The sequence below is a fragment of the Homo sapiens genome, chromosome 15 (assembly GCF_000001405.40).
Source record: "Homo sapiens chromosome 15, GRCh38.p14 Primary Assembly".
In the NCBI taxonomy this organism is placed as follows: domain Eukaryota; kingdom Metazoa; phylum Chordata; class Mammalia; order Primates; family Hominidae; genus Homo; species Homo sapiens.
Genome location: NC_000015.10, coordinates 92,836,012 through 92,863,767, shown reverse-complemented (window position 1 = coordinate 92,863,767; position 27,756 = coordinate 92,836,012). Strand labels below are relative to the sequence as shown.

At 44.9% G+C, this 27,756-nt stretch overlaps 5 annotated features.

Annotated features, from left to right (window-relative positions):
* Nucleotides 14,107-14,196: an enhancer, noted in NCBI's record as "active region_10126". NCBI's record gives its function as "activates an Ori minimal core promoter by ATAC-STARR-seq in GM12878 lymphoblastoid cells {active_cell/tissue: GM12878}" and the evidence as "EXISTENCE:reporter gene assay evidence [ECO:0000049][PMID:35858748]".
* Nucleotides 16,763-16,963: a silencer, noted in NCBI's record as "peak2429 fragment used in MPRA reporter construct". NCBI's record gives its function as "represses an SCP1 promoter by STARR-seq MPRAs in K562 erythroleukemia cells {active_cell/tissue: K562}" and the evidence as "EXISTENCE:reporter gene assay evidence [ECO:0000049][PMID:32103011]".
* Nucleotides 18,555-18,654: an enhancer, noted in NCBI's record as "active region_10125". NCBI's record gives its function as "activates an Ori minimal core promoter by ATAC-STARR-seq in GM12878 lymphoblastoid cells {active_cell/tissue: GM12878}" and the evidence as "EXISTENCE:reporter gene assay evidence [ECO:0000049][PMID:35858748]".
* Nucleotides 23,612-23,671: an enhancer, noted in NCBI's record as "active region_10124". NCBI's record gives its function as "activates an Ori minimal core promoter by ATAC-STARR-seq in GM12878 lymphoblastoid cells {active_cell/tissue: GM12878}" and the evidence as "EXISTENCE:reporter gene assay evidence [ECO:0000049][PMID:35858748]".
* Nucleotides 23,742-23,831: an enhancer, noted in NCBI's record as "active region_10123". NCBI's record gives its function as "activates an Ori minimal core promoter by ATAC-STARR-seq in GM12878 lymphoblastoid cells {active_cell/tissue: GM12878}" and the evidence as "EXISTENCE:reporter gene assay evidence [ECO:0000049][PMID:35858748]".

Sequence of the window (27,756 nt, the reverse complement as noted above, 5' to 3'; positions counted from 1 at the left end):
TGGTCTCAAACTCCTGACCTCGTGATCCTTCTGCCTCAGCCTCCCAAAGTGCTGGGATTACAGGTGTGAGCCACCACACCCAGCTAAAATTCAGCCTTTTTTTTTTTTTTTTTTTTTTTGAGATGGAGTCTCACTCTGTCACCCAGGCTAGATGGAGTGCAGTGGCATGATCTCGGCTCACTGCAACTTCTGCCTCCTGGGTTCTAGAGATTCTCATGACTCAGCATCCTAAGTAGCTGGGACTACAGGCAAGCACCACCATGCCCAGCTAATTTTTTAATTTTTAGCAGAGATGGAGTTTTGCCATGTTGGCAAGACTGGTCTCAAACTCCTGACCTCAAGTGATCTGCCCACCTTGGCCTCCCAAAGTACTGGGATTATAGACGTGAGCCACCGTGCCTGGCTTTAGGCCTTTCTTCTTTTTTAATGTAATCACTTAAAGCTATAAATTTCCCTGTGAGTACTACTTTGAATGCATCCTATAATTTTTTTTTTTTTTTTTTTTTTTTTTGTAGAGACAGGGTCTCAATATGTTGCCCAGGCTGGTCTCAAACTCCTGGACTCAAGTGATACTCCCATCTTGGCCACCTAAAGTTCTGCGATTATAAATATGAGCCATCACACCCAGCCCTATATTTTTTATATGCTGTATTTATTATTATTCAGTTTGAAATATTTTTAACCACACTTTTGGTTCCTTCTCTGACCTATGAATTAGTTAGAAATATGTCATTTAATTTCCAAACATTTGCAGTTTTCCAAGATATATTATTGTTACTAATATCTAATTTAATTCCATACGGTCACAGAATGCATTCTATATTATTTCAATAATTTCAGTTATTGACACTGTTTTGTGGCCCGCATATATCTAACTTGGTGAATGTACCCACGTGTACTTGAAAATGACGTATATTATAGAGTTGTTAGATACAGTGTTCTACAAATAAATATTAGGTCAAGGAGGTTGAAAATGATATTCAGGTCATCTACGTCTTTGTTGATTAATTGCTGAGAGAGTGTGTTTAAAAAACTCTCCAACTGCCCGGGAGCAGTGGTTGCCTGTAAAATCAGCACTTTGGGAGGGCAAGACGGTTGGATCATGAGGTCAGGAGATCGAGACCATCCTGGCTAACATGGTGAAACCCTGTCTCTACTAAAAATACAAAAAATTAGCCGGGCGTGATGGGGGGTGCCTGTAGTCCCAGCTACTCGGGAGGCTGAGGCAGAAGAATGGCGTGAACCCGGGAGGCGGAGCTTGCAGTGAGCCAAGATCGTGCCACTGCACTCCAGCCTGGGCGACTGAGCTGGACTCCATCTCAAAAAAAAAAAAAAACCCTCCAACTATAGGCCAGGCGTGGTGGCTCACGTCTGTAATCCCAGCACTTTGGGAGGCTGAAGTGGGTGGATCACCTAAGGTCAGGAGTTCGAGACCAGCCTGGCTAACATGGTGAAACCCCACCTCTACTAAAAACATACAAAAAATTAGCTGGGCATGGTGGTGCACATCTGTAGTCCCAGCTACTCAGGAGGCTGAACCAGGAGAATTGCTTGAACCCTGGAGGCAGAGGTTGCAGTGAGCCAAGATCATACCACTGCACTCCAGCCTGGGTGACAGAGCAAGACTCCATCTCAGAAAACAAAACAACAAGAACAACAACAACAAAAAAAAACAACTCTAATTGTGGAATGATCTACTTTTCTCTGTCAATTTTTGTTTCATGAGTCTTGAGGATGTGTTACTAGGCACATACACATTATTGTTATACCTTCCTGATGAATTGACTCTTTTGTCATTTAAAGTGTTCATCTTTTCCTTGAAATTTTTTGCTGACGTAGTTGTGATATTTGTCCCCTCCAAATCTCATGTGAAAATGTCATTCTCAATGTTGGAGGTGAGGCCTAGTGGGAGATGTTTTGGTCATAGGGGAGGATCCCTCACAAATGGGTATGTGCCCTCCCCACAATAATGAGTGAGTCTTTGCTCTATTAGTTCATCCAAGAGCTGGTTGTTTAAAGAGGTGTGGCATTCCAGCCAGGCCAACATGGTGAAAAACCATCTCTACTAAAAATACCAAAACTAGCTGGGCATGGTGGCACATGCCTGTAATCCCAGCTACTTGGGAGGCTGAGGCAGAAGAATTGCTTGAACCTGGGAGGTAGTAGCTATAGCTACTGCTGAACACACAGATGTTATTTGTGTTTTTTGGCCAGGCACGGTGGCTCATCCCTGTAATCCCAGCACTTTAGGAGGCTGAGGCGAGCAGATCACCTGACGTCAGGAGTTCGAGACCAGCCTGACCAACATGGAGAAACCCTGTCTCTACTAAAAATACAAAATTAGCCAGGCATGGTGGCATGTGGCTGTAATCCCAGCTACTTGGGAGGCTTAGGCAGGAGAACCGCTTGAACCTGGGAGGTGGAGGTTGCAGTGAGCCAAGATCGCACCATTGCACTCCAACCTGGCAACAAGAGCAAAAACCCATCTCAAACAACAACAACAAAAAATTAGCCAGGCATGGTGGCATATGCGTGTAATCCCAGCTACTCGGGAGGCTGAGGCAGAAGAATCGCTTGAACCCAGGAGGCAGTAGCTATAGATACTGCTGAACACACAGATGTTGTGTTTTCATGTAGAGGACATCTGGGGCTGGAATAGGTGTCACCTCTTGGTGGCTGAATTAGACCTTATGTATATAAAGCTCCGATACATTTATCCTGAATGTTTAGTGCCTTTTATATATTTAGCATCTTCTATGTCTCATTCATATTTAGTGTATTAAATATTTAATATTCAGGTAACTGATAAATATTAAGTACCTTTTGGCCTTTCTATTCTTTTCTATATATGTTGAACACATACATACATGCTGCATTTCCTTTTTTTTTTTTTTTTTTTTTTTTGAGACAGATTCTTGCTGTGTTGCCCAGGCTGGAGTGCAGTGGCGCAATCTCGGTTCACTGCAGGCTCCCCCTCTCAGGTTCAAGCAATCTCCTGCCTCAGGCTCCTAAGTAGCTGGGATAATAGGTGTGCACCACCACACCCAGCTAATTTTTGTGTTCTTAGTAGGGATGAAGTTTCACCATGTTGGCCAGGCTGGTCTTGAACTCCTGACCTCAGGTTATCTGCCTACCTTGGCCCCTCAAAGTGCTGGGATTACAGGCGTGAGCCACCGCGCTTGGCCACACCAGCTAAATTCTTAAGTTTTTTGTAGAGATGGAGGAATCTTGCTATGTTGCCTGGCCTGGTCTCGAACTCCCAAACACAAGCAATCCTCCCACCTCAGCCTCCCAAAGTGATGGGATTACAGATGTGAGCCACCATGCCTAGCCAACTGTATATCTTTTACCAAATTTGAGAAGCCGTTGTTTGTTCAAATATTTTTTTCTACCCTCTTTAAAACATTTCCTTCCTCATACCAACCTGGGTGACACAGTAAAACTCTGTCTCAAAAAATGAAAATAAAATAAAAAATTTCCTTCCTTTTGGGACTCCAATTACCTGTATTTAGACTTATTGATACTGTCCTACAGTTTCCTTTTTTATTTTTTGGTCTTTATTATTCAGATTGCATACTCTATTGTTATATCTTCAAGTTACCTGACTCTGTCATCTTCATCCTACTATTAACCCCATTCAGTGAATTTTTCATTTATTTATTTAAATTTTTTTGAGATAGAATCTCACTCTGTCACCCAGGCTGTAGTGTAGAAACATTTTCAATTATAAAATTTCTTCCAGCTCTTTTTCATACGTCTCTGATGAGATTTTCTATGTGTTCATTCATTCCAAATATGGTTTCCTTTACTTAATGGAACATGGTTACATGGGCTGCTATAAGGCTCTTGTCTGAAAATTCCAACATGTGGAGTCACTCAGAATTGTTCTCTATTGATGACTTTTTCGGTGAGAATGGATTGCATTTTCCTGGTTCTTCATATATTGAGTGATTGTTATTGTATCTCGGAATTTATGATGTTATTTTGTGGAGACCCTGGTTTTACCTCCCCAGAGATTACTGTTCATTTTGTTTTAGCTGGCACTTACCTTGGAGATATTCAAACTGCAAATTCCGACTTGCCCACAGTGGGCAGTAGTTCAAGTCTCACTTCTGTTCTTTTAGCCATAAATGCAAGTTGCTTTGAATCTGTTTCACTTGAGTATGGTTCAAGAGTCAGCCTAAGACTTGGGCTAAGTGTACATAGATTTTGGAGCTCCCTTTTTCTAACTCCTTCCGGTCTGAGATTCCCCCTTCATTTTCTGATGGCCATGGTGGCCCTGGGATTTGTCCCCTGGTTCCTTGGCCCAAAAAGTTGGTAGGCTTTCCACTGAAGTTACAACTACCCTATTCCACAAAATGACAGTCTTTCTTCTGGCCAAAATCACACACAAAAAGGGAAACCCACCTTGAATCAGTTCCTTTAAGTTTCAACTCCTCTCCAAAATCTGACTAATTTGTTAACTCTCCAGAAACACTGGTTGGTTTCTTTTGCATTTTGCCCATCATCTATAGTGATCTTGGTGGGGGGACAGTCTGTTAGGCTCTTACTCTGCTATAGTGGAAGTGGAATTCTCTTTCTGTTGAATTTTTTTCATTGACAAAAAATTCTGTATATTTATGGGCGGGGTGCAGTGGCTCATGCCTGCAATCCCAGCAGTTTAGGAGGCCGAGGCCGGCGGATCACAAGGTCATGAGTTCGAGACCAGCCTGGCCAATATGGTGAAACCCTGTCTCTACTAAGAAAATTAGTGGGGGTGTGGTGGCGTGCCTGTAGTCCCAGCTACTCGGGAGGCTGAGGCAGAAGAATCACTTGAACCTGGGAGGTGGAGGTTGCAGTGAGCCGAGCTCATGCCATTGCACTCCAGCCTGGGTGACGGAGCCAGACTCTGTTTCAAAAAAACAAAAAAATTCTATATATTTATGGTGTACATGATGTTTTGTTATAGGTATACACTGTGAGATTGCTAAACCAAGCTAATTACCATATTCATCACTTCACATATTTATATTTATGTGGTGAGAACATTTAAAATTTACTCTTTTAGCAACTTTCAAGTATACAATACGTTGATATTAATTATAGTCACCCTGTTGTACAATAAATCTTCGAGAATTAGTCCCTCTGTCTAACTGAAATTTTCTATCCTTCGACCAACATCTCTTTAATCCCCTACCTCACCCCAGTTGAATGCTGAGCAGATATCTAAATGATTGAAAAGAGCTGTAATTAATTCATCCCAGAAACAATGTTCTGAGGAAATGGAGCTCCAGACTCCCAGCACCTCCACATTCTTGTCTTTTTAGAGTCTGGACCTTCAGGCTTCCCTTGGATCAGGTGCATTCCTACATATTCTTTCTTTCCTTCTTTCTTTATTTTTTTCTGTTTTCCTTTTTTTTTTTTGAGACAGAGTCTCGCTCTGTCGCCCAGGCTGGAGTGCAGTGGTGCAATCTCCGCACACTGAAAGCTCCACCTCCCGGGTTCACGCCATTCCCCTGCCTCAGCCTCCCGAATAGCTGGGACTACAGGCGCCCGCCACCACGCCCGGGTAATTTTTTGTATTTTTAGTAGAGACGGGGTTTCATCCTGTTAGCCAGGATGGTCTTGGTCTCCTGACCTTGTGATCCGCCCGCCTCGGCCTCCCAAAGTGCTGAGATTACGTGAGCCACCGCGCCCGGCCTTTTTATTTTTCTTTCTTTTTTGAGATGGAGTTTCCATCTTGTCACCCAGGCTGGTGTGCGATGGTGCGATCTCGGCTCACGGCAACCTCCGCCTCCCGGGTTCAAGCGATTCTCCTGCCTCAGCCTCCGGAGTAGCTGTGATTACAAGCATGCACCACCACGTCCTGCTAATTTTGCATTTTTAGTAGAGATGGGGTTTCTCCATGTTGGTCAGGCTGGTTTTTTGTTTTTTGTTTTTTTTGTTTGGCAGAGTCTCGCTCTGTCGCCCAGGCTGGAGTGCAGTGGCGCTATCTCAGCTCACTGCAAGCTCAGCCTCCTGGGTTCATGCCATTCTCCTGCCTCAGCCTCCCGAGTAGCTGGGACTACAGGCACCCGCCACCATGCCTGGCTAATTTTTTTGTATTTTTTTAGTAGAGACAGGGTTTCACCGTGTTAGCGAGGATGGTCTTGATCTCCTGACCTCGTGATCCACCCACCTCGGCCTCCTAAAGTGCTGGGATTACAGGCGTGAGCCACCATGCCTGGCGATATTCTTTCAATAAATCCCTTTTTTGGTTTCCAACCATAGCAGGTTTCTGTTGCTTACAACCAGTGATATACTATCACACTTATCCGCCCAACTAGACTCTGAGCACTTTGAGGGCAGGTACTCTATCCTTTTGCTTTGGTGTTCTTTGACCCCTCAGCCTGGCTGCTTTCCTTTCCAGGCCACAAAGGCAGCCCCAACTGTGCAGAAGCACTGAGAATACAACACAAGTAGGTGACAAGAACCTTGCCCTAGAGAATCTGCCATCTAGATAAGGTAGCAAGATTGGCATTTACTAAATGACTGTGGCTAGTACAAAGCAGAATGTGATTCAGTATCGAAATTGGAGGCTCACTAATAAGGTCACTGTGGGGTCCAGAAGTAGAAAGATCAGGATGGGTTCCCTAGGACATTCTCTAGTGGAGTTTCTTAGAGAAGCTGTGAGGACCTGGGTGAGAAGAGGCAGATGATCTGCAGGGAGTAGCGGGGCTGCAATCAGTCTCCCTATACCATACTTTCAAAAAGTCAACTTTTTAAAGTTAATGTGTTGGCCGGGCGCGGTGACTCATGCCTGTAATCCCAGCACTTTGGGAGGCCGAGGCGGGTGGATCACCTGAGGTCCGGAGTTTGAGACCAGCCTGGCCAACATGGTGAAACCCCATCTCTACTAAAAATACAAAAACTAGCCAGGTGTGGTGGCACGTGCCTGTAACCCCAGCTACTCAGGAGGCTGAGGCAGGAGAATCACTTGAACCAGCGTGGGAGAGGTTGCAGTGAGCCGACATTCTGCCATTGCACTCCAGTCTGGGCAACAAGAGCAAAACTCCGTCTCAAAAAAAAAAAAAAATTATTGTCCCATCTCTCCCACTAAGTGCTTCATCTGCTATCTTAACCAATAACGTGACTCACAGATTTGTTAGACTCTTTTTCGTTTTCTTTTTTTGGAGACGGGGTCTTGTTCTGGTGCACAGGCTGGAGTGCAGTGGCACGATCTCGGCTCACTGCAACCTTTGCCTCTGGGGGAGCGGGGACTATAGGCGCGTGCCACCACGCCCGGCTATTTTTTTTGTATTTCAGTAGAGATGAGGTTTCACCATGTTGCCCAGGCTGGTCTCCAATTCCTGAGCTCAGGCAATCTGCCTGCCTCGGCCTTCCGAAGTGCTGGCATTACAGGCGTGAGCCACCACCCCTGACCATTTTTTTCCTTTTCATTTTACTCACCAATAAAAGAAGAAAGCCCAAGACATAGAGAAGGAAGAAAATAGGTACCCTGCCATGACCCTCAAGTTAGCTAATAAACTCCTATTAAAACAAAAACTAACAAACTACATAATACATAAAAGACAACTAGCTTTGCTTTTGACAGACAAACTATGTTTCGTACTGAGCTCAGTACACAGCATTTAAAAATTAACAGAACTATAAAAGTAGGGAAATCAGTACCTAACCTGTAGCCTGAGGCTGCAGGTCTTGAAGGTCAGAAAACATTATATGTGATTTAATCACATTTAAGGCTGAAGCTGATGGCACCGGCCAGCTATGTTAGACAGTGTTTGAAACTATGAAAAAGAAGGGCAGAATTCTAGGAGCTAGTATTTTCCTGTGTCCTTGGTAGGCAGGACTGCAGGGAAGTTGCTCAGTAAGAAAACAAGAAAGAGGCCTGCAGTTTGGAAGGAAAAACTGCAATGTTAGGTAGGAATTACAGCTAAGTTTTACTGCTATATAGAAATTTAGCAGGGCTGTAATTTTAACCCCCTCTTCACCAAGAGCCTCCAGTGTAGTCTGTTTATGCACATAAATAATAAGGAGAAAAGGAATTGCTTTAGCACAGTTAACTTTATACCTAACTATTAATATTATATAAAATAAAGCATAGGAAAGAAAGTTCCTTTAAGTAGCACTTTAACTCTTCTTTCTTCTCAACCTCCCTGTTCAGTTTGTTCAAATCTTTAGTTGTAAATGTTACAGGTACTGACCATGGGAACCGTTCTTGCAAACTGGTTCCATGGCTGAATAAAAATACTGTGGCTGGGCCGGGCGCGGTGGCTCACACCTGTAATCCCAGCACTTTGGGAGGCCGAGGTGGGCGGATCACGAGGTCAGCAGATCGAGACCATCCTGGCTAACACAGTGAAACCCCGTCTCTACTAAAAATACAAAAACAAAATTAGCTGGGCATGGTGGTGGGCGCCTGTAGTCCCAGCTACTCGGGAGGCTGAGGCAGGAGAATTGTGTGAACCCGGGAGGCGGAGCTTGCAGTGAGCCGAGATCGCGCCACTGCACTCCAGCCTGGGCGACAGAGCGAGACTCTGTCTCAAAACAAAACAAAACAAAACAAAAAATACTGTGGCTGGCCAGGCACGGTGGCTCATGCCTGTAATCCCATTACTTTCGGAGGCCGAGGTGGGCAGATCACGAGGTCAGGAGATCAAGAGCATCCTGGCCAACATGGTGAAACCATGTCTCTACTAAAAATACAAAAATTAGCTGGGTGTGGTGGTGCATGCCAATAGTCCCAGCTACTCAAAAGGCTGAGGCAGGAGAATTGCTTGAACCCAGGAGGTGGAGGTTGCAGTGAGCAGAGATTGCGCCACTGTACTCCAGCCTGGCGGCAGAGTGAGACTCTGTCTCAAAAACAAAACAACAATAACAACAAACAACAAAAACAAAAAACCATGGCCTCCAAAAAGGAAGCAGAAGAGAGGTCTGGAGATGAGAAAGTCCTGTTGGGTCTTGGTTTCCAAGAGCAGGGGTAGGTTTTTAAAAACCAGAGGAGGAAGAATAGAAGTGTTGGTGTGTGGCTGAGCAGCCCCTCTTTCCCTTGATGAAGAATCAAGAGGACTAATGTCCTAAGCCTGGGAGAGTGAAGAAAAAAAAAAAGGAACGACGTGGGTTAATGGATGTGCTAACTAACTTGATCATGGTAATCATTTCACAATGTGTATGTCTATCAAATCATCATGTTGTACACTTTAGATTATATATTTGTCAGTTATATCTCAATAAAGCTGAAAACAACAACAACAACAAAAACAGCCCAAGGCTGGGTGCGGTGGCTCATGCCTGTAATCCCAGCATTTTGGGAGGTTAAGGCAGGCATATTGCTTGAGCCCAGGAGTTCAAGACCAGCCTTGACAACATAGGGAGACCACATTTCCTCAAAAAATAAGGAAAGTAGCCAGGCGTGGTGGCCTGTGTCTGTAGTTCCGGCTACTCAGGAGGCTGAGGTGGGAGGATCTTGAGCCCAGGAGTTCGAGGCTGCAGTGAGCCATGATTGTGCTACTGCACTTCGGCCTGGGCAACAGAGCTAAGGATGGAGGTAGATCTCTTAGGTTCTGGAAGGAGACCACACTTTCATGACTAGGAAGAACCTAGGGTCATTCCAAAGCCTTAAATTTGGGGGAATTTAGCTCTCCTGTGTAACTGGACAATTGGACATTTGCAGTGCTATTTTGTGAGCATGAGTGCATTCTATGAACCAGGCATATACAAATGGTGACTGGCCTTCCTGATCATTCTTCAAGTGGCAACTGGACTCTCTAGGGAGATAATTTTCCCAGGATCAACACAGAGGGTCAAATCAAGCAAACCAAATAGAGCATTTCCCCCCAAGGTGACGTAGACATATGAGGAAGGTCCATCTGTGACACTAGAAGACATATGTGCCACAACTGCTTTGTATGAAACCGTATCTGCTTTTTTCACTAATTGTGGTAAAATACACACAACATAAAATTTACCATCTTCACCATTTTTAAGTGTACACTTCAGTGGCATGAAGTACATTCACACTGTTGTGCCACTGCGTATCCGCTTGGTTTTTTGTTTTTGTTTTTGTTTTTGTTTTTGTTTTGAGACAGAGTCTTGCTCTGCTGTCCAGGTGGAGTGCAGCGGTGTGATCATTATGGGAGGGAGAGGGAAAGAGAGCAAAGAACAGAGGTGGAATGGTGGAACCCAGGTGATGTTTCTGCAGTTTAGCTTTGAGAGAGATGAAGCCGAGTTAAGACAAGAGGGTTGATTCAAAACAAAATCAGGGTGGAAGTGATTCCTCTCTGCGGAAGAGGGGCTTTTTATAAGACAACCGGAAGGCAAGTTGTCGGTGTCTTGCTGGTACTGCTTCAACGGAGCACATGGAGATTGTTCCTGTGGAGCACATAGACCAGAGAAGAGGGCTGCGGGAGCTCCACGGGAGGCAGGGGCTCCGTTGGCTGAGCTGCCCGGGGAGCTTGAAATGCAATTATTATGCAAAGAAAATATTTGTTGTAAATGGAAATTTTTTGTAAAAAATTCACTAAAAGCAGTATGTAGTTTATCTAATTAGGTAATAAAAAATTTCTAAAGGTATACACCCGCTTTGAAAAGCTCTACAAATATTTTTCCTCGTCCCCTTTCTGTAAGATTGTCAGTAATGTTATTCTATTTTAAGATCATAAATATCCAAACTGAAGTGACTTCCTGTTTCTGGTATCAAACTAGCTTTCAAACTAGTCACCAAAATTCCTTCCTTGTATTTTAAAAGATAGCAGGATAGGAAATTTCCAAAGTAGCTTTGAATGATTCAACTTACCTTTGGTGCCCAGGCTTGGTGGCTCAAGCTAGAAATCCCAGTGATTTGGGAGGCCGAGGCAGGCAGATCACTTGAGCCCAGGAATTTGAGACCAGCCTGGGCAACATGGCGAAACCTCATGTCGATAAAAAAATAATAATAATAGGTCGGGCACGGTGGCTCACGCCTGTAATCCCAGCACTTTGGGAGGCCGAGGCGGGTGGATCATGAGGTCAGGAGATAGAGACCAACCTGGCTAACACAGTGAAACCCCGCCTCTACTAAAAATACAAAAAAAATTAGCCAGGTGTGGTGGCTGCCGCCTGTAGTCCCAGCTACTCGGGAGGCTGAGGCAGGAGAATGGCGTGAACCCAGGAGGCAGAGCTTGCAGTGAGCCGAGATTGCGCCACTGCACTCCAGCCTGGGGGACAGAGCGAAACTCCATCTCAAAAAAAACAAATAATAATAATAATAATAAAGCTTTTTTTGTTTTGTATTTTTTTTGAGATGGAGTCTTGCTCTGTCACCCAGGCTGGAGTGCAGTAGTGTGATCTTGGCTCATTGCAATCTCCACCTCCCGGATCCATGCCATTCTCCTGCCTCAGCCTCCCGAGTAGCTGGGACTACAGGCGCCCGCCACCACGCCCGGCTAATTTTTTGTATTTTTAGTAGAGACGGGGCTTCACCGTGTTAGCCAGGATGGTCTCGATCTCCTGACCTCATGATCCGCCCGCCTCGGCCTCCCAAAGTGCTGGGTTTACAAGCATGAGCCACCGCGTCTAGCCGTTTTTTTTTTTTTTAAAGGAAAAGAACAAATTACCTTTGGTTAAAGCATTTTTATACCTATGATTTACTATTTATGATTGACCATTGGCTGTTTCAAAAGCAAAAAAAAAAAAAAAATCCACACAACAGGACTTCATTTAAAAAAAAAAAAAAAGTAGAGATAGGTCTCACTGTGTTGCCCACGCTGGATTCAAACTGCTGGGCTCAAATGATCCCCCTGCCTCAGCCCTCAAGTAGCCCAGACTAAAGGTATGTACCACCGCACCCAGCAGGGCTTCAATCTTTACTCTGATACTTTAATCCTTCCATGATTGGATTTCACCATGAAACTCTTCCTTTGAGTTGGCTGTCTTTTGTATTCTGTGAAGTGGCACATTTTTTAAAATGTTTCTCTATCCAGAGAGCTAGGAAAAAGGTTCTGGACAACTCCTGATGGTGGGGCTAAACATTTGGAAAGACAATTATTCTTCCAATCTGTTAAATTCCAGCATATTTCTTTAAAACTTTATTAAAACAAACCTCTCCAGCTCATTCAAATGAAATTATAACTTTTAAAAATAGCTTTTATAGAGAAAATGCTCATGAAAATAAAGACCAAACAGGCCGGGCGCCGTGGCTCACGCCTGTAATCCCAACACTTTGGGATGCCAAGGCGGGCAGATCACCTGAGATCCGGAGTTTGAGACCAGCTGCACCAACATGGAGAAATCCCATCTCTACTAAAAATACAAAATTAGCCGGGCGTGGTGGCGCATGCCTGTAATCCCAGCTACTCAGGAGGCTGAGGCAGGAGAATGGCTCGAACACGGGAGGCAGAGGTTGCTGTGAGCCGAGATCGCGCCATTGTACTCCAGCCTGGGCAACAAGAGCGAAACTCCGTCTCAAAAATAAATAAATAAATTAATTAATTAATTAAATAAAGACCAAACAAACGTAGTTTTGCCTAGGGATGAGTTAGGGGGAAATTTGAATGTTGGATTACTGCTTCTTTTACAAAGGCCTCTGAAACTTCTGAGTAGTCCTAGATTGTGATTCTAAATCAGCAATTCTCAATCTTTCTAAGGGTAATATAATCACCTTCACTTGTTATACAGACAAATGGAAGATAAAAGACATCTTCCAGGCCAGGCACGGTGGCTCACGCCTGTCATCCCAGCACTTTGGGAGGCTGAGGTGGGTGGATCACGAGGTCAGCAGTTCGAGACCAGCCTGGCCAACATAGTGAAACCTCCTCTCTACTAAAAATACAAAAATTAGCCGGGCATGGTGGCGCACGCCTGTAGTCCCAGCTACTGGGAAGGCTGAGGCGGGAGAATCGCTTGAACCCGGGAGGCAGAGTTTGCGGTAAGCCAAGATCACACCACTGCACTCCAGCCTGGATGACAGAGCCAGACTCCATCTCAAAAAAAAAAAAAAAAAAAAAAAAATGCATCTTCAAACCATCTCATTAAGGAACCTGTTGTTTCTTTACATGATAACTACATAAAAACTTCTGTTTATTCATTAGCAAAGCGAAAAAAAAATTATTACTTAAAAATCAGAAGTTGAATCAATTTCCAAAACCTTTTCCTTAGTTTGAAAAAAAAAGCTAATATACGCTTCTGAGAGGTGAAGCCAGCTGGACTTCCTGGGTGGAGGAAGGACTTGGAGAACTTTTCTATGTAGCTAGAGGATTGTAAACACACCAATCAGCACTCTGTGTCTAGCTAAAGATTTGTAAATGCACCAATCAGCACTCTGTAAAAATGCACCAATCAGCACTCTGTAAAATGGACCAATCAGCTCTCTGTAAAATGGACCAATCAGCAGGATGTGGGCAGGGCCAAATAAGGGAATAAAAGCTGGCCACACGGGCCAACAGCGGCATCGGCCTGGATGCCTGTGCAGGCTGTGGAAGGTTGGTTTTTTCCTTCTTCACAGTAAATCTTAACACTGTTCAGTGTTTGGGTCTGCACTACCTTTATGAGCTGTGATACTCACTGTGGAGGTCTGCAGCTTCACTCCTGAAGTTAGCCAGACCATGAACCCACCGGGAGGAACTAACAACTCCAGACGTGCCACCTCTAAGAGCCTTAACACTTATTGGGAAGGTCTGCGGCTTCACTCCTAAAGTCAGGAAGACCATGAACTCACCAGAAGGAAGAAATTCTGGACACATCTGAAGGAACAAATTCCGGACACACCATTTTTTTTTTTTTTTTTGAGGCGGAGTCTCACTCTGTCACCCAGGCTGTGGTGCAGTGGCGTGATCTCAGATCACTGCAACCTCTGCCTCTGGGACTCAAGCAATTCTCCTGCTTCAGCCTCCTGAGTAGCTGGAATTACAGGCATGTACCACCATGCCCGGCTAATTTTTTTGTATTTTTAGTAGAGACAGGGTTTCACCATATTGGCCAGGCTGGTCTCGAACTTCTGACCTTGTGATCACCCACCTCGACCTCCCAAAGTGCTGGGATTACAGGCATGAGCCACCGCGCCCGGCCGTGGACACACCATCTTTAAGTACTGTAACACCGCGAGGGTCCACGGCTTCATTCTTGAAGTAAGCAAGAACCCACTGGAAGGAACAAATTCCGGACACGCTTTCATGTCATATTAGTTTCCTAGGGTAATTGTAACAGTGTACCACAGGCAGTGGTTTAACAAGGGAAATGTATTGTCTTGAAGTTCTGAAGATCAGAAGTCTGTGACTAAGGTGTAGGCAGGGTTGGTTCCTTCTGAGGCTGTGAGGAAGAGTCGTTTGCATGCCTCTTCCCCTAGCTTCTGGTGGTTTTTTTTTTTTTTTTTTTGAGACAGTCTCACTCTGTCACCCAGACTGGAGTGCAGTGGTGCGATCTCAGCTCACTGCAACCTGTACCTCCCCGGTTCAAGCTAGTCTCCTGCCTCAGCCTCCGGAGTAGCTGGGATTACAGGCTCCCACCACCACGCCGGGCTGATTTTTGTATTTTTAGTAGGGATGGGTTATCACCATGTTGGCCAGCCTGGTCTCGAACTTCTGAGCTCAGGTGATCTGCCTGCCTTGGCCTCCCAAAGTGCTGGGATTACAGGCCCGAGCAACTGTGCCTGGCTGCCTCTGGTGGTTTGCTATCTTTGGTGTTCCTTGATTTGTAGAAGCGTCACCCCTATCTCCGCCTTCCTCTTTACAAAGCATTATCTCTGTGAGCAGTGTTTATGTCTGAATTTCCACTTTTGATAAGGACCCCAGTTATGTCGGAGTAGGTGCCCACCCTACTCCAGTATGACCTCATCTTAACTAACCACATTTGCAGTTTCCAAATATTTCCAAAGAAGGTCACATTCTGAGGTCACTGGGAGTTTGGATTTCAACATACGAATTTCAGGGGGAGGGTGGCAGGGATACGGTTTAACCCAAAACATCTGTGAATACATTTTTCTTAGCAGATAACTGTAATGCATTGTCCAAATGAAAGACCTACACTCTGTGGACCTCAGATGACGCGTTACGTAGGAAAGGTAATTGTGACTACTCTCATTCCCACAACAGTGGGTGTCTAGGAGCCCAAGAACTGACCTGTCTTATTGAATAGGCTGAGAGGAAAGCACGTCCAACTTTACTTCTGCCCAGAAAAGTACCTGGAAGCAGGAGTGTCCCCTCCCGCTACCACCAATGCCAGTGGAGTAGAGTGCTTTGTTTCACTCAACTGTCACACTTCCGTGTAAGCTGCACTTTATTACCAGCATGGCAGTGGTTACCCAAGTGGTTCCATCCCCATTGCTCTGATCACATGGCTTCCACCGCCCACCCTCCCAGTACCTGGGCAGTTGTCATTGCAGGTTCTCATATCTAGCTTGATGGTATTCTTCCTCTGCTTCAGTGGCATCCTGGCCCATGAATGCCTCCAGCCCTCCTTTTCCAAGGTCCTGCCTTGTTCTCCGAAGATTAAAAAAAGGGGCAAAAATGATGTTTTAGCTCAGGCCTCCATAATGCCTCCAGACAATGGGTGCTTTTAAGTACGTATTCAGCAGTTCCTCTTATCTTAGATCCTATTAGATCTGAAATGCTCCCATAAACATAGTGTCAAAGCTCTACAAAATGCATTTCTAATTCCTAGAATGAAATTAACTGAAATCCAACTTTTGGAGCAGCGCGTTCCTGTAGCCAATGAACTAGCCACAGAAATGTTCCAGCAGTGACTGCCCACGAATGTTGTCAGCATCTTACAATGTATTTAACAAAACCCAGTAGACGGCATACGCAGAAGCTTTCAGGGTCATGGGAGCATGGGCTGAGAGGGGCCTTTAAAAGAGAAGAAGACTAGGTGCCTTCTTGAATGTGTAATATGAGAAAGAAAATCCAGTGAGATGATTAGGTGAAGGTTAGTTTCATGTCTCAACTTGGCTAGGCTATGGTGCCCAATAGTTTATCAAACACTAGTCTAGATGTTACTGTGAAGGTATTTTGTAGATGTAATTAACATTCACAGTCAGTTCACTTTAAGTAAAGTCAATAATATCTCATCAAATCAGTTGAAGGCCTTGAGAGCAAAAACTGAGGTTTCCTGGAAGAGGAAGAATTCTGCTTCAGGACTAACACAGAAATTGTGCCTCAGTTTCCAACATGCAGGCCCACCCTGTGCATTTTGAACTTGCCTGCTCCCACAATCATGTGAACCAATTTTTTAAGATAACCTCCCTTCTCTAGGTAGATTGATTGACATAAGCAATGCTTTAAATATATATGAAACAGATATATATATGTGTGTTGGTGGGGGGTGTATTTTATTGGTTCTGTTTCTCTAAAGAACCCTGACTAACAGTCAGATTCGCTCTTTTTTTTTTTTCCATAGAGAAAGGGTCTCAAGTTTCTGGGCTCAAGTCTTCCTCCTAGCTGGGCCTCCCAAACTGCTAGGATTTGCAGGCATGAGCCACCTGACCCAGCCAGATCCATTCTTAACGGTGGTCAAAAGAACAGGATCAGTTGTTTGAATAAGGGATTAGCAATGAATTAATTGAGAGGCTAGAAAAAAAATCTTTAGCAATTTTTTACTCTGAGTAGTAGAGAGAGAAAGAGAATGGCACTTGGTAACTCCAAATGGTATGCATCTGCTTGGAAGTTGTATCAATAAGGCAAAATCCTAAGAAGGATGTCTAAGATGCTTCTGAAGTCGACATAGGACAGATCCAAGGATAGAATAAATTCTCAACCTACTTCTACAAATAAATGCTTAGAAAATTCCCCTGTTGACAGGCTATAAACATAAGGTGGACTTTCCTCCCATCTCTACATAGTTCTTGAAAAGATGCAATAAGTAGGTTATTCTAGCCTCAAAGGCAATGAAATGAATTATGGATGACTCAGTGGATAGAACTGAACAGAAAAAAATGTAAATCTTTCAATGGCTGTTTGGAGCTATGTTTTAAAAGAAAAAAAAATAAATCTTCTGGGCCAAAAATAAGCTAATTAAATCAAAACTCAAAGGACAAGCAATAGACCAGGGGAACTATTTATTGTTAATATGAAACAGAATTAATAGTTTTTACATCTGAAGAGATCATAATGTTCAGTAAGAAAAACCCCAATAGATAACTGCAAAGATTTCTACCAGACAATTCTCAAAAACAAGTTATATAAATGGATGGAATACATTTGAAAAAAAGTTCAGAGAAATGCAAAATGCCCCTTTAATGCATATATATCCACCCATAACCTTAATAGTTAAATTGATTTAAAGATACCTTAGGCTGTGCGCTTTGGCTCACGCCTGTAATCCCAGCATTTTGGGAGGCCAAAGTGGGTGAATCACTTGAGGTCAGGAGTTCAAGACCAGCCTGGCCAATATGGTGAAACCTCGTCTCTACTAAAAATACAAACATTAGTTGGACGTGGTGGCAGGCGCCTGTAATCTCAGGTACTCAAGAGGCTGAGGCAGGACAATGGCTTGAACCCAGGAGACAGAGGTTGCAGTGAGCCAAGATCGTACCACTGCACTCCAGCCTGAATGACAGAGCAAGACTCCATCTCAAAAAAGGAACAAAAAACCTGATTTAAAGACCACTTAATAGCCATATGCAGTGGTACATGCCTGTAGTCCCAGCTACTCTGGAGGCTGAGGCATGAGGATCTCTTGGGGTCAGGAGTTCTTGGCAGAAATGAGCTATGATCCCAACCTGTGAATAGCCACTGCACTCCAGCCTGGGCAACATAAGGAGTACATTAAAAGGAAAAAAATTACCGGGCGCGGTGGCTCACATCTGTAATCCCAGCACTTTGAAAGTCCGAGGCAGGCTGATCACGAGGTCAAGAGATTGAGACCATCCTGGCCAACATGGTGAAACCCTATCTCTACTAAAAATACAAAAATTAGCTGGGTGTGGTGGTGCACCCCTGTAGTCCCAGCTACTCAGGAGGCTAAGGCAGGAGAATCGCTTGAACCCAGGAGGTGGAGGTTGCAGTGAGCTGAGATCACGCCACTGCACTCCAGCCTGGTGACGGAGCGAGACTCTGTTTAAAAAAAAAAAATAGATCCCTTAATATAAAGTAAGGAAACATACAGATAACTTCAAGGTTTTAATTCTCAAGAAAACAAAAGTTTTAATATGTGATCTATTTTGTGCACTTGTAAATGATTAGATTTGTTTTAATGTACTTTATGAGGCTTTTGTAATCTACAGCAATTCATCATCAAACACAGTTTTTTTTAATTCTCCTCTACATGAAAAACAGGCAACAAAGTTGTAATAATAATAAGTTGCATTTACCAGTGAATGTATCTCTTTTCTATGGTTTAATAATGAATGACAACATCAGTTGAAACAGGCATCTGGTTTAATATACTGATTCCCTTTACCAACCCCTCCCCTCTGACTGGTAGTCATTTACTTTCAAAATATCATTTCCCACTAAAGAAACTAGCTGGCAAACTACCAAGAGGAAGTGTATCTCACTAAATGAAGTTCCTGAATTGCTGCTTTTGTTTCTTGTTTCTTTTTGCTCTGCCAGCAACTTCAGACTATAAGAAAGTGCATTCTCTGCACTGCATAGCATAAAACAGTTCAGAACTGTTCCAAAAGGTACAGCCACTGTTAGATACAAAGTACAAAGCAGGAGTAAGGGGAGAGGTTGAGGAAAGAATGAGGGAAATTTGAAGAAAGGGTCTGTTTTTGTTGTTGAAATTCACAGGAATTAGTTTGATGTTCAGTGAAGTACCAGGTACTACTGGAGAAAGGCTGGTGCGTTATGAAAACAAAGAATTGAAGGCAGAAGTATAAATAAGGTCTATGAATGAAGGAATGAAAAGGACCAGGTTCCGTGAAAACATAGTGAGCAATCAAAGATGTCCCAATCAGGTGAAGGGGACTTTGCTGTGAAATTCCTTAATGAAAGGAATCCCACAGACTTGCTGGAAAGAAGTGAGGCTAGGCTGGGCGCGGTGGCTCGCTCCTGTAATACCAGCACTTTGGGAGGCCGAGGCAGGTGGATCACTTTCATTCAGGAGTTTGACACCAGCCTGGCCAACATGGTGAAACCCTATCTCTATTAAAAATACAAAAATTAGTCCAGTGTGGTGGTGCATGCGTGTAATTCCAGCTACTTGGGAGGCTGAGGCAGGAGAATCACTTGAACCCGGGAGGTGGAGTTTGGGAGGCTGAGGCAGGAGAATCACTTGAACCCGGGAGGCGGAGTTTGCAGTGAGCCAAGATTGCACCACTGGACTCCAGCCTGGGCGACAGAGCAAGACTCCATTCTGGAAAAAAAAAAAAAAAGGCCAGGCCTGGTGGCTCACGCCTGTAATCCCAGCACTTTGGGAGGCCGAAGCAGGCGGATCACGAGGTCAGGAGATCAAGACCATCCTGGCTAACACGGTGAAACCCCGTCTCTACTAAAAAAAAAATACAAAAAAATTAGCCAGGCGTGGTGGCAGGCGCCTGTAGTCCCAGCTACTCTGGAGGCTGAGGCAGGAGAATGGTGTGAACCCGGGAGGCGGAGCTTGCAGTGAGCCGAGATCGCGCCACTGCACTCCAGCCTGGACAACAGATTGAGACTCCATCTCAAAAAAAAAAAAAAAAAAAAAAGTGAGGCTAGCCGATGAGAAATTGAAAATATTATTAAACTAGAGAATCAAAGTTGAGGTGCTGGTAACAGGAGCATAGGTACGTATATAGATTCCAGTGTACCCGCTGACAAGCTGACACACCACCCATTGCCAATTGCCCGCCTAAGACAGGAGACTGGAAAAGACAGCTGATGAGATGGGGGGCGGGGGCGGGATGTGGCTTGTTGTTGAGGGAAGGCATAGAGTGTGCTGGGTTCCTGTGGCTTCAAAGGGCCTTGGTAAGAAGGACAAAGAGGAGAAGCGGGAGGGAAAAAAAAGGTAGGAAGGGAAAGGAAAAAGAAGAAAGATAAAATTCTCATTTCAGTCCCCAGTCTTTTTGGCACCAGGGACCAGTTTCATGGAAGACAATTTTTCCATGGGGACGGGATTCATTTGCTTTGAAATATCATTTGATTAAAAATATCAGCAACTCCCTATAGTGTAAATTTTTTCTTTTTTCTTCCTTTTTTTTGAATTGGGGTCTCACTCTGCTGCCCAGGTAAGAGGCAATATCGTCAGGATGAAATGCTTCCATTTCAGATCACATCATCAGGCGTTAGATTCTTCTCATAAAAAGCAGGCCACCTAGATCCCGCTCACATGCAGTTCACAATAGAGTTCATGCTCCTATGGGAATCTAATGCCGCGCTAATCGGACAGGAGGCAGAGCTTAGGCGGTAATGCTCACTCACTGCTGCTCACCTCCTGCTGTGCAGCCTGGTTCCTAACAGGCCACAGACCAGCACCCGTCCATGGCCTGGGAGTTGGGGACCCTGTCAAAGAGTTTACAAAAAAGAAAATGGAAAGGCAGGAGCTAACATCTATAGATATCATCTCATTTCCTCCACTCTAAAACCCCAAAGTAGGCCGGGTCCACTGGCTCACACCTGTAATCTCAGCACTTTGGGAGGCCAAGGCAGATGGATCACCTGAGGTCAGGAGTTCGAGACCAGCCTGACCAATACGGTAAAATCCCATCTCTACTAAAAATACAAAAATTAGCTGGGTGTGATTGCGTGTGCCTGTAATCGCAACTACTTGGGAGGCTGAGGCAGAGAATCACTTGAACCTGGGAGGCGGAGGTAGCAGTGAGCCGAGATCACCCCACTGCACTCCAGCCTGGGTGACAGAGCGAGACTCCATCTCAAATAAATAAATAAATAAATAAAACCCCGAAGTGGCATTTTTATCTCCACTTTACAGGCGAAAGAGGCACACCACCACACAGGTACGACAGAAAGAGCCAGACTAGAACTCCTGTCTACCTGAGCACAGTAATTCTCCCTGCTTTCCATGCAGCCTATGAAAAAGGTCAACAGTCACAAAGAGGACAATGGCTTGTTATGGTCCCGTCAATTGGCATCAATGTGTGAAGGGAAATCAGCATGTGGACATTACTTGCAGAATTGTTGCTGTAACAAGTTAAAATTCACCTCTGGGAAAGAGATAATGAAGAGTAGGAAAAAGTTTTGTTTTTTGTTTTTTTTTTTTTTGAGACAGAGTCTCGCTCTGTCGCCCAGGCTGGAGTGCAGTTGCACGATCTTGGCTCACGGCAAGCTCCGCCTCCCGGGTTCACACCATTCTCCTGCCTCAGCCTCCCGAGTAGCTGGGACTACAGGCACCTGCCACCGCGTCCGGCTGATTTTTTCTATTTTTTAGTAGAGACAGGGTTTCACTGTGTTAGCCAGGATGGTCTGGATCTCCTGATCTTGTGATCCACCTGCCTTGGCCTCCCAAAGTGCTGGGATTACAGGCGTGAGCCACCGCATCTGGCCAGGAAAAAGCTTTTAACTTCTTTACATCGATCCTGAACACATAGGAGTGGAAATTACAACTGGTCATAACAACACACTGAAAGACTTGGCCTTAAAAAAACAAAAAACAAACAAACAAACAAAAAACGGGGGGATTAGTTTATCCTGGAAATGAAAAGCTGAAAGGAGATGTAGTACTCTGTGATACAAAAATTAGACTATAGGGAGGCTGGGCGCAGTGGCTCATACCTGTAATCCCAACACTTTGGGAAGTCGAGACAGGCAGATCACTTGAGCCCAGGAGTTTGAGACCAGCCTGGGCAACGTGGGGAGACCCCATCTCTAATAATATACAAAAACTGGCCGGGCACAATGGCTCACGCCTGTAATCCCAGCATTTTGGGAGGTTGAGGCGGGTGGATCACCTGAGGTCGGGAGTTCGAGACCAGCCTGACCAACATGGAGAAACCCCCGTCTCTACTGAAAATGCAAAATTAGCCGGGCGTGGTGGCGCACGCCTGCAACCACAGCTACTCAGGAGGGTGAGGCAGGAGAATCACTTGAATCTGGGAGGCAGAGGTTGCAGTGAGCCAAGATGACGCCACTGCACTCCAGCCTGGGTGACAAGAGCGAAAATCGGTCTCCAGAAAAAAAAAATGTTGCAAAGTGCTTGTAGATACATGATCTTACTTTTTTCTATGTGTCTTCTTCATTGCAATGGAGGATAACGACACAGGGTTATTATTTTATAAATTTTTAAAGGGAAGTCAATCACAAAAGGAGGAAAACAACTGCGAAAAGCATGCCATGACAACCAGTCCTTCAAGAGGTTTTATCAAAGGCAAGGAGGGTGAGGAGGCTCCCAGCTCTGTTTTTTAGGGCAGTCTTTGGCTCCTGTGTTGTCCTTGTCATGATGGAGAAGTTCAGTGCCATACTGGAGGAAGCAGGAGCAGGGAGGGCTTGTCCTAGATGGTGGCATTAATAATCTGCATCCCCATTGTTTGATCACAAAAAAATACAGTAAGTTCAATGTTGCTCTAATATAAACAAGGTCAGAACACAAAGGCCAACTCACTTGTAATTTGTTTGTTAAACCTGACATTAGTATGGAGCAGGATTAAGGTTTTTTTCACCGTGGTTATCCCATCAGAGAAAAGCCTCTACTGAACTAATGATTAGAGAAAAGAGGCTGAAGAATAGAACAAGTACTTGATGAGGTCTTCGACATTCGTTCATGCATCAACAACCATTTTTTAGGGCCTGGTGGATAACTGCACTTTTTTTTTTTTTTTTTTTGAGATGGAGTCTCACTCTGTTGCCCTGGCTGGAGTGCAGTGGCACGATCTCAGCTCACTGCAACTTCTACCTCACGGGTTCAAGCGATTCTCCTGCCTCAGCCTCCTGAGTAGCTGGGACTACAGACACGTGTCACCACATCCAGCTAATTTTTGTGTTTTTAGTAGAGACTAGGTTTCACCATGTTGGCCAGGCTGATCTCGAACTCTGAGCTCAGGTAATCCACCTGCCTTGGCCTCCCAAAGTGCTGGGATTACAGGCGTGAGCCACCATGCCCAGTCGTGTTTGTTTGTTTGTTTGTTTTGAGACGGAGTCTCACTCTGTTACCCAGGCTGGAGTACGGTGGAGTGATCTCGGCTCACTGAAACCTCCGCCTCCCGGGTTTAAGTGATCCTCCTGCCTCAGCCTCCCAGTAGCTGGGATTACAGGCATGTACCAGCACGCTTGGCTAATTTTTGTATTTTTAGTACAGACAGGGTTTCACCATGTTGGCCAGGCTGGTCTCGAACTCCTGACCTCAGGTCATCTGCCCTCCTCAGCCTCCGAAAGTGTTGGGGTTACAAGCATGAGCCACTGCACCCAGCATAATTGCACTTTCATGTGAATTGTCTTACATCATTCTTGCAAGAACCCTCTGAGGCAGGCCTTGATTAGCCACATTTTGTAGGGTTAGTATCAGGCATGATGCTGAGGGCGGCACAGCATGTGGGCTCTGCAGCCAGAGGGGCTTGGCCTGACTTCACCATTACCAGCTGGGCCACCTGCACAAGGGACTTCGCCATCCTGAATTTCACTTTTTAAAATGAGGCCAATAGTAATGTCCACCTCCCAGGGCTGTTGTAAGGATGGAATGTGGTAAAACATGTTAGCCAGTTAGCCCAAGGCTTGGCAGGCAGCTTGCATTCAATACACATCACCCATTATGACTCAGATGCATTCGCCTCAGTTTACCTGTCCAACACCCCATGAAGTACATATTCTTACTATGCCCATTTTACGGGTGAGAGTACAGAAGCTTAGAGAGGTTAAATAACAGACGTGGAGATCAAGGCTGGCATCCGGTTTCAATTCCAGGTCTCCTCAGTTTTAGAGCTGGAACCCCTGGCTAGGAACCCTTCAAGTGACAACGTGTTCCACAAGGAGACCAGGTGCAGCTGCCTGGGGCTCTCCTGACTGCAGCTGGAGAGCTCGGCAGGAGGTGTAATCAGTGCTGGGAGCTGGCTGGGGCCACAGCAGCCTCCATAACCTTGTGACAGCTGCTGCCTGGGTACAAAACCGACACTCCAGCTCTTGATGAGCAGCTGTGCTAGTGGCTTCACCCACACTCATTTGCAAACTCCTTTCCTGTGTCTTCATACCCTTCCTTCCTTTCTTGGGCCCTCTCTACCTCTTCTCACCTCTCTTACCCTCTCTTTTCCTTCTGAAAGCCACATTTTCCCTTTCTGTTTACCTCTAACATCTCTCTAGCCTAATTTGGAATACAACAAAATTATTCATTCTGTTTATTTATTTACTATTATTATTTTTTGAGACGGAGTCTTGCTCTGTTGCCCAGGCTGGAGTGCAGTGGCACGATCTCAGCTCACTGCAATGTCTGCTTCCCAGATTCAAGTGATTCTCCTGCCTCAGCTTCCCTAGTAGCTGGGATTACAGGCACGTGCCACCATGCCCAGCTAATTTTTGTATTTTTAGTAAAGACAGGGTTTCATGTTGGCCAGGCTGGTCTCGAACTCCTAACCTCAGGTGATCCACCTGCCACGGCCTCCCAGATTGCTGGGATTACAGGCGTGAGCCACCACACTCGGCCATTCTGTGTTTATTAAACATGATGTTAAGTTTCCTTTTCTGAAGTTTTAAAAGCAATGAATATTCAAGGCAAACTTTCAAAAAGCCTCAACAATTAGTGGTTCAGTGAGATCCTGCCACTGCACTCCAACCTGGGTGACAGAGTGAGACCTTGTCTCAAAAAAAAAAAAAAAAAAAAAAAGAAAAGCCAGGCACTGCAGTGGCTCATGCCTGTAATCCCAGCACTTTGGGAGGCTGAGGCGGGTGGATCAGGAGGTCAGGAGTTTGAGACCAGCCTGACCAACATGGTGAAACCCCGTCTCTACTAATAATACAAAAATTAGCTGTGCGTGGTAGCGCGTGCCTGTAATCCCAGCTACTCAGGAGGCTGAGACAGAACTGCTTGAACCCAGGAGGCAGAGGTTGCAGTGAGCCGAGATCGCCCCACTGCACTCCAGCCTGGGTGACAGAGTGAGACTCCATCTCAAAAAAAAAAAAAAAATCGGTGGCTTAGGTAGATGGAAGGTAATGTTATAAAGAAAGCAAGTCTAGCAAAATGTTCATTGTAGAACTGAAGTGGTGGATGGATGGGTATTCACTGCATATTTTTTTCAACTTTTCTGTTTGTTGGGACATTTTCACAATTAAATGTGTGGTGGTGGGAATCAATGGCTCTATATCTATCATTTTCAATTTAGTTTTGTTGTTGGAAGGTTGGGACAGTGGCCTCAAAATAAAAAACGTTTCTTCTCCATCCTGTCAGAGCATTTGGGGCTGGGGGCTTCTCAGTGTTCTCCTTTGGCAGGAAAACACTGAAGGGTTTACCCAGGGCTGGCACTCAAGCAAGGCATCTTTAGACAAAGCCAGGCAGAAGCAGGCACTCAGCTGGCTTTTCTGGGAGGGACCCTGAGCCTCATCAGAAACTTTGATCTCAGGGAAGAGAACGTGAGAACTGAGATGAATTAAGTTGCCCAGGTTGTTTCACAAGAGAAACAGCCGTAGGTGGGTAACATTCAGGCAACTCCATCCCGGTCATTCTTCATCTGTTGGTCCACATTGCTCTAAACCGTAAAGCAGTGCTTCCAGCTGTGTGAGTAACAGAACTGGCCTGGTCCCTGGGACTGAAGGCCCCGCTGGAAAAGATGACCGTGGCATATTTGGCTAGAGATGGTGGAAAAGCTTGTGGTGTTTTCTTTTTTTTATTATTTTATTTTATTTTTTTGAGACAGTCTCGCTCTGTTACCCAGGCTCGAGTGCAGTGGCGTGATCTCGGCTCACTGCAAGCTCTGCCTCCTGGGTTCACGCCATTCTCCTGCCTCAGCCTCCAGAGTAGCTGGGACTACAGGCGCTCGCCACCATGCCTGGCTAATTTTTTTGTATTTTTAGTAGAGACGGGGTTTCACCATGTTAGCCAGGATGGTCTTGATCTCCTGACCTCATGATCTGTCCACCTTGGCCTCCCAAAGTGCTGGGATTACAGGCGTGAGCCACCGTGCCAGGCCAAGCTTGTGGTATTTTCGTGCTGTTGTCACTGATGTTGATCGGTTGAGCTGCCTTCTGGATGCTTTTTCTGAGCTATACCTCGCCTTAGCTGTATGAATTTTCTGACTCCAGTCCTATAGAGAAAACTCTACGGTAATATATGCCTTGCTGGCCGGGAAGGACGTGCCATAAGCTCCCCTCCCTGCCCCCACATACATGACATGAGAGATCTCAGAGGGGCCTACAGGGCGCAGCAGCAAAGACACAAGCAGATTCACTATGCGTGGCCTGTCAAAAGCTTCAGATCAGAAACAACCTCAGGGATCCTAGGGGATGGTTAGGTAAATGATGGTGCATCTCTAAAATAGAAAACTGTGCCACCCCTTTAAAAAAGTGCTTTCGGTATTATGAGGGATAATTTCCAAGCCATATTGTTAATTAGAAATAAAAAGGAAGATCAGAACAGTGTGTGTGGTATGTGCCTACTTCTGTGATTAAAAAATATTTACCTCGGCCAGATGCGGTGGCTCATGCCTGTAATCCCAGCACTTTGGGAGGCCGAGGCAGAAAGTCAAATAGTGGATCACCTGAGGTCAGGAGTTCGAGACCAGCCTGACCAACATAATGAAACCCCATCTCTACTAAAAAATATAAAAATTAGCCAGGCGTGGTATGGTGGTGCCAGCTACTTGGGAGGCTGAGGCAGGAGAACTGCATGAACCCGGCAGGTGGAGGCTACAGTGAGTCAAGAATGCACCACTGCACTCTAGCCCAGACAACAAGAGCGAAACTCCATTTCAAAAAAACAAAAAACAGGTGGAGGTATAAAAAGCTGAATAGAAAATGCATCTATTTGTTTAAAAAAAGAGAAAGGAGTGACATTTATATTAATGGGAAGGGTGGCTCCATCTTGACTCACTGCAACTTCCACCTCCCTGGTTCAAGAGATTTTCCTGCCTCAGCCTCCCAAGTACCTGGGATTACAGGAGTGTGCCACCATGCCCGGCTAATTTTTTGTGTGTTTTTAGTAGAGATGGGGTTTCACCATGTTGGCTAGGCTGGTCTCAAACTCGTGACGTCAGGCAACCCACACACCTTGGCCTCCCAAAGTTCTGGAATTACAGGCGTGAGCCACTGTGCCCGGCCTAAACATTTGTTTTAGAGAGACAGTGTCTCCCTGTGTTGCCCAGGCTGATTTCAGATTCCTGGGCTCAAATAATCCTCCCGCCTTGCCCTCCCAAAGTCCTGGGATTACAGGTATTTGCCACCCTGCCTGGCCGAGATATATTTTCTAAGCCTCAGTTTCTTCACCCAAAAAGTAGGAAAGAAGGTGGAATTGAAGAGAATAATGTTATTAATGATACCATAAGGTTGTTTTTAACAGTGGCTTTCAATAAATGTCGCTTCATAACATGGTGGATTCTGGAGCCAGACAGCCTGGGCTTAAATCACAGCTAAACCCCCTTTACTAGTTTTGTGACTTTGGGAAAGTTAATTAATCTCTGCACCTTGGTTCATTCATTTGTAAAATGGGCATTTTACTAGTACCTATATCACAGATTTTTATGAGTCACAAATTAATATATGTGAAATGCTTAGAACAGTCCCTGGTACTACTTTTCAACTGAATAAGGCCTTAAACGAAACTTTTATTCTATTTATATACAAATATATATATAAAATATACATAACATTTATATATAAATAACATATATATAACATATATGTGTGTGTGTGTTTGTGTGTGTGTGTGTGTATATATATATATTTTTTTTTATTTTGAGACAGAGTCTCGCTCTGTTGCCCAGGCTGGAGTGCAATGGCACAATCTCGGCTCACTGCAACC